Genomic DNA, 6,992 nt, shown 5'->3' on the forward strand with positions numbered 1-6,992 from the left:
TATTATGTTCTGTCATTAAGTTCATAATGATCCAGTTTGTGATAAGATGACACACTAGTGTGGGCTGCTAGCTTACTCCCTACAAAACGAACACAGGAGAGAGAGGGAAGCAAGGCATTGAGGGATTAATATAAAAACCATGAGAAACCCTGCTGGTGAACAGGTGCATGTGTCTGGGGGGCCACAGTAGATCATAGGACAGGAGGGAGGTGGGAAAAAGGAGATTTACATTCCGTTTGTGCCTTTCCCCTTTATTGTCCTGGGAGGGTCAGTGTTTGTTCCATGTCTCAGGTGGGATTCTTTGGAAGCAGACACAGAAAAAGAGTTTTAGGTGCAAGATATTTATTAGAGGCCAACACCTATGAAAGGAAGGGAGAGGAAGCAGAATCATCAGAGAGGGAAATCACAGTGCATGGTAGATTCTCAACAAAGATGGTTGAACGAATAAATACTTGAACTAATGGAGTTATATGCCCAGAGTGGGGCAGTTAACTTCCATTTCTTCCTTCCATGAAGGTTTTTTTAGGTGTGCACTTAATAATAAATAATAGTGAATATCATTTGAGTGCACACACACCAGACACTGTTTTCTAAGTACTTTACATGGGTTTGCTCTGAAGTAGGAATGATTATCATTGGCCAGGCGCAGTGACTCACACCTGTAATCCCAGCTCTTTGGGAGGCCAAGGTGGGTGGATCACTTGAGTCCAGGAGTTCAAGACCAGCCTGGCCAACATGGTGAAAAAATACAAAAAAATAGCCAGGCAGGGTGGTACATGCCTGTAATCCCAGCTACTTGAGAGGCTGAGGCACAAGAATCGCTTAAACCCAGGGAGTGGAGTTTGCAGTGAGCCAAGGTCGAGCCACTGCACTCCAGCCTGGGCAACAGAGCGAGACTCTGTCTCAAAAAAAAAAAAAGGCTGGGTGCAGTGGCTCACGCCTATAATCCCAGCACTTTGGGAGGCCAAGAAGGGCAGATCACTTGAGGTCAGGAGTTCAAGACCAGCCTGGCCAACATGGTGAAACCCTGTCTCTACTAAAAATACAAAAATTTAGCTAGGCGTGGTGGCATATGCCTGTAATTCCAGCTACTCGGGAGGCTGAGGCGAATGGCATGAACCCGGGAGGCAGAGCTTGCAGTGAGCTGAGATCGCCCCACTGCACTCCAGCCTGGGCGACAGAGCGAGACTCCCTCTCAAAAAAAAAGAAAAAAAAGAAAGAAATTAGCCAGGCATGGTGGCTCATGCCTATAATCCCAGCTACTCAGGAGGCTGGGGCAGGAGAATCACTTGAACCTGGGAGGTGGAGGTTATAGTGAGCTGAGATCACGCCATTGCACTTCAGCCTGGGCAACAAGAGCCAGACTCTGTTTAAAAAAAAAAAAATATCATCATACCCAGTGAATACATCAGACAAAGGAGGCACAGATGTTAAGCAACTTTCCCACATGAGTGGTAAGTAGAGGAGCATGGAACGTGGCTGGAAATAAACTGGACAGGTTCCTGATTGTACAAGTTTCCGTTCCAGCTGCAGAGAGAGAACAATGAATAAATCCCAGTAACAATGAATAAAGTCAAGAAGTGTCATGAGAGTAGAATAAAGAAAGTAGAGGGGTGGGGGGCATGTGGAGGGAGGCCTGCCTGAGGTGACTTGTGACTTCAAGTCTAGAGAATGAGAAGGGGCCATCCGTGAAGATCCCGGAAGCAGAGGGGACCTGGAAGAGAGAACGCTGAGCAGAGAGAACAGCATGTGCAAAGTCCCGGAGGCTGGAGAGAGGTCTGTCTGAAGGACGAAAAGGCAGCCTGTGTGTTCGATTTGTTGGGAGGAAGATATAAAGCAGTGTTCATAACTTCTTAGTCCTGGGCCTGGCACTCAGCCCACACTGACTAAATGCAACAATTGTTACAACTTCATTCTAAGAGGTGGGCGCCTCCGTAGCTGCCCTCTGGGGCTAAGCTTTGGGAAGTCCCCTAGCCTTCGGATGTGAATCGTCTGCCGTGGGAACCTCTCCCAGGTCTGGCTCAGGAAAGCTTGGGAAGGTCCTAACCGGTCAGCGAGTCATTCTTTCTCACGTCCTCAAACACAGCCCTGGGGTCACCCCCACCTACCTTCCAGGAAGAGGGCTGGGGATTCAGCACCCCTCCCATTCTCCTAAGAAACCTCTGTCAGATGACAGCTGACTGCTTTTTTTTTTTTTTAAACACAATAGTCACATTGGAGAAGGGAAAAACTAAAAAAAAAGAAAGTGCTCAAAAGTCATTTTTATCCAAAATATTTGTATGTATTAACTATATATTTTATGCACACTGCAATGACTGCTGCTCAAGGCAGGGTTCTTAAGAAACTGAAGGGCCAGTCATGGTAGTTCACCACTGTAACCCCAGCACTTTGGGAGGCCGAGGCAGGTGGATCACTTGAGGTCAGGAGTTCAAGACCAGCCTGATCAACATGGTGAAACCCCGTCTCTACTAAAAATACAAAAATTAGCCAGGCGTGGTGGTGCGCACCTGTAATCCCAGCCACTAGGGAGGCTGAGGTGGGAGGATCGCTTGAGGCTGGGAGGCAGAGGCTGCAGTGAGCTGAGATCATGCTACTGCACTCCAGCCTGGGCAACAGAATGAGACCTTGTCTCAAAAAAAGAAAAAGAAAGAAAGAAAGAAACTGAGGCCATTTATATTTTAATGGATGTTTGTGCCTGCTAGGGGTAGAAACCCCTGAATGGTGGAGCGAAGGCATTTAAACTGAACTCCCCACTGTGGGAAGCATCACAAGACCCAAGTCCCGGGCTGTGAGGTTGGGGAAGGGCTATTCTGGTTGACCTGAAAATATGACTGCAATTTTGTCTGATTTTGTTAGGAAGTGGAATCTACCTCTCAGCCCTTGAATCTGGGTTGGTTTTGTGATTTTATGAATTGGTTTGACTGGTAGAACCTGTGTTGTATGAATGACAGCCTGGGAGATAGGAAAGGAGTGTTGGGGAGGGAGAGAGGCAGAGAGAGGGAGATAGATAGATAGAATTATAGATAGATGGATGCATAGATGATGATGATGATAGATAGATAGATAGATAGATAGATAGATAGATAGATAGATAGATAGATAGATAGATAGACAGACAGACAGACAGAGCCAGGCACAGTGGCTCAGGCCTGTAATCCTTTGGGAGGCAAAGGTGGGAGAATCCCTTGAGTCCAGGAGTTTGAGACCAGTCTGGGCAACATAGTGAGAACCTGTCCCTACAAAAAAATAAAAAATTAGCTGTGTGTGGTGGTATGCATCTGTGGTCTCAGCTACTTGAGAGGCTGAGGTGGGAGGATAACTTAAGCTTGAAAGGTTGAGGCTACACTAGGCTATGATGGCACCACTGCACTCAGCCTGGGCAAGACAGCGCAAGACCCTGTCTCAAAAAAAAAAATAGATACATACTACGTAGATAGATATATAGATAGTTAGAGTCGTAGGTAGATGGATGGATGGATGGATGGATGGATGGATGATGTATTCGTCCATTCTCATATTGCTATAAAGAAATACCTGAGACTGGGTAATTTATAAAGAAAAGAGGTTTAACTGGCTCACGGTTCTGCAGGCTGTACAGGAAGCAGGGTGCTGGCTTCTGGGGCGACCTCAGGGAACTTACAATCATGGCAGAAGGTGAAGAAGGAGCAGGCACGTCTTACATGGCAGGAACAGGAGCAAGAGAGAGTGAGGGGAGGGGAGAGGTGTCACACACTTTTAAATGACAGAGTCTCACGAGAACTTATTGTCACACTGTCACAAGAATAGCACAAAGGGGATGGTGTTAAAGCCAGAGATCCTCAACCTTTTTGGCACCAGGGACCAGTTTCATGGAAGACAGTTGGAAGGTGGCGGTTCCAGGATGATTCAAGAACATTACATTTACTGTGCACTATGATGCACTGTTGTTATATTATTACCACATTGTAATACATAATGAAATTATTATACAACTAGGCCGGACCCAAGGCGGCTCATGCCTGTAATCCCAGCACTGTGGGAGGCTGAGGCGGGCAGATCTCTTGAGGCCAGGAGTGTGAGACTAGCCTGGCCAACATGGTGAAACCCTGTTTCTACTAAAAAAAAAAAAAAAAAAAAAAAAAAAAAATTAGCCGGGCACAGTGGTGCAAGCCTACAGTCCTAGCTACCCAGGAGTTTGAGGCGGGAGAATCACTTGAACCCTGGAGGCGGAGGTGGCCGTGAGCTGAGATGGTGCCACTGCGCTCCAGCCTGGGTGACAGAGTGAGACGCTGTCTCAAAAATAAACGTATAAATAAAATAAAGACGACTCAGAAAACAAAATGGGGGAGGTATGGAGGGGAGCAGAGAGATAGAGAGAGGTGAAGTCCCTTGAGGGAGTACTGTTTGAGCAGACTAAAGGATAAAGAGCCAGATGTGCCTCCAGGGTGACATCCACACACCTGTCCAGATGACAAACACAGGTTCTCAGCCCCCACCGTCCACCTAGGATTCCTGAGCCCTCTCCTGCTGACACCTGGCAGGGTGCTGAGCCCATGAGCTCATGGGAAGAGAGGAGCCCATAGCCATGACCCCTTGCCCACCCGCTGGACACCCTGCCCTTCCTCTGGGGTTCCCAGATGCCCTGGCACAGTGCTACCTGGAGGAAAAGGAAGAGCGTCAGCCGGGGGCAGCCTCTGCCTTGCGGGCCAGCTGCTGGGATGGGAGACCTCCTTCCCAGCCCTCCCCCTTCCAGGGCAACCAGAGGAGCAGCTGGAAAGTTCCAGGCTCAGGAAATGCAAATAGATGAATGGAGGGAAGTGGACAGGGACACTACACCCATAGACTTGAGGCTGTCAGTCAAAAGTGCTGACCCTGGAGCCTGTCCCAGACCCTGTCCGCTGGGGAGTCAGGCTGAGAGCTGGGTGGCATTCTCGCTCCCCATCCACCCATATCTACACAAAGTCCAGCTCATTTTGCCTCTCGAATTCCCCCCCGAGTCACCCACTTTTCTCCCTCCTATGGCTGGGCCACTGTCCTGTCTTCCTGAATGACAGCATTGCCACCTTGCCAGCTTCCAGGATTATACCCTCTAACCATTCCTTCCATGCCCAGTTAAAGGGAGCTTTCTGAAACAAAGAGCAGACTTTGCCTCCCCTCCGCATAAAACTTCCCATGTCTCCCCATTGCCTTAGGGATAAAAGCTAAAGCTATGCCATTGGACCCAGACACAATGGCCTCTGTCTCTAGCTTCCCCCATTATAGCCACTTTCCCCTTTGGTTCTCCTTGCTGTGGATGAGTGCAATCACCTGTGGCCCTGTGCTTGTCCCAGGTCCTTCACATCCTTCAGGTATGTGCTGGGCACTGCTTCCTGAGGAAGCCTCCCTGGACTTCCAAGTCTGGGGCTCAGGGGCTGCTCACCTGGGCTCCAACTATCACACCTGCCATATTGCTTTGTGCTTACTGAATAATGCAGTGTGGGAAGGGAACTGCTGTGGCATGGCCCTGTGTGCCCTGATGAGTCTTCTGCAGGTGCAAGTGGTGAGCAGAGGTTGTCCACTGCACCATCTGTGTGAGTTCAGGTCACTGGCAGAGACAGGCAGGGTTAGCAATACGGGTGCCCGGCCCCTCGGCCAACGTGCCTAACACAGGTTCCCAGAGGCTGTGTCTCTCAACATGCCGTTAACAAAGCAGATGTTCTAAGGGGTTCTGCATGCTGCAGCCTCTGGGGGACAGTGTGTCACAGAGCCTTGCCTCACTGAGCCTCAGCTTCCTCATCTACAGAACGGGGCCAATAAAGCCAACAGGGCCTTCCTCCTTGGATGGTTGTGAAGATTGCATGAGATTAAATAAACTACATAGAAAGTGCTCAGAGAGGGGTGACCCCTCTTTTATGATTCATAACCAGTGCCAGAAGCCACGCCAGGACACATCTTGCCATTGGAAGTATGTAAAGTAATGGCACTGTGCTTCTGTGGACATCTCATTACGAGAATGTTCAGTTCTTGGGTTATATTAAGATGCGGTTTTCCTGTTGAAGCCTCTAAAGTCCCTTGTGGTTTCTCTGGGGTCCAACAGCCTGGATGCGAAAAAGAAAGAGCCCAGCCTGCTGCCCCACCCCGTGTTACTATGAGAATTGGGGAACCAGCCCCTGGGGACACAGATGCTATCACAAAGAGTCCCTGAATTGGCTTGCCACATTTAACGGATAAATATATAAGATACTCAGGTTCCTATATTTGATCTGGCAACCCTATTTCCAGAAGTGTGCTAGGTACTCTCACTTGTCTGAATAAGTAACATCTACTGCATATATATAGATCTATTTTTCTTTTTCTTTTCTTTTCTTTTTTTGAGACAGGATCTCACTCTATTGTCCAGGCTGGAGTGCAGTGGGGCAATCATAGCTCACTGCAGTGTCCACCTCCCAGGCTTAAAGGATCCTCCCATCTCAGTCTCCTGAGTAGCTAGGTCAACAGGTGGGCACCACCATGCCTGGCTAATTTCTAAATTTTTTGTAGAGACAGGATCTTGCTATGCTGCCCAGGCTGATCTTGAACTCCCGGGCTGAATTGATTCTCCTGCCTCAGCCTCCCAAAGTGCTGGGATTACAAGCATGAGCCACTGTGCCCAGCCTAATTATCTAATCTAAGCTTTTTGCCTACACACACACACACACACACACACACACACACACACACACACACGGAGAGAGAGAGACAGAGACAGAGAGGGAGAGAACTGAAAGAGGACCAAAAGAAGAATAAAGAAGAACAGTCCAGCTGGGTGCAGTGGCTCATGCCTGTAATCCCAGCACTTTGAGAGGCCGAGGCTGGAGGATCACTTGAGGTCAGGAGTTTGAGACCAGCCTGGCCAACACGGCGAAACCCCGTCTCTACTAAAAACACAAAAATTAGCTGGGCATGGTGGCATGCGCCTGTAATTCCAGCTACTCAGGAAGCTGAGGCAGGAGAATCACTTGAACCAGGGAGGCAGAGGTTGCAGTGAGCCGAGA

At 48.8% G+C, this 6,992-nt stretch overlaps 2 annotated features.

Moving 5' to 3' along the window:
- Positions 1,905–2,004: an enhancer, noted in NCBI's record as "active region_13875". NCBI's record gives its function as "activates an Ori minimal core promoter by ATAC-STARR-seq in GM12878 lymphoblastoid cells {active_cell/tissue: GM12878}" and the evidence as "EXISTENCE:reporter gene assay evidence [ECO:0000049][PMID:35858748]".
- Positions 5,759–5,868: an enhancer, noted in NCBI's record as "active region_13876". NCBI's record gives its function as "activates an Ori minimal core promoter by ATAC-STARR-seq in GM12878 lymphoblastoid cells {active_cell/tissue: GM12878}" and the evidence as "EXISTENCE:reporter gene assay evidence [ECO:0000049][PMID:35858748]".

This window comes from Homo sapiens, chromosome 19 (genome assembly GCF_000001405.40).
Source record: "Homo sapiens chromosome 19, GRCh38.p14 Primary Assembly".
NCBI classification, from domain to species: Eukaryota; Metazoa; Chordata; class Mammalia; order Primates; family Hominidae; genus Homo; species Homo sapiens.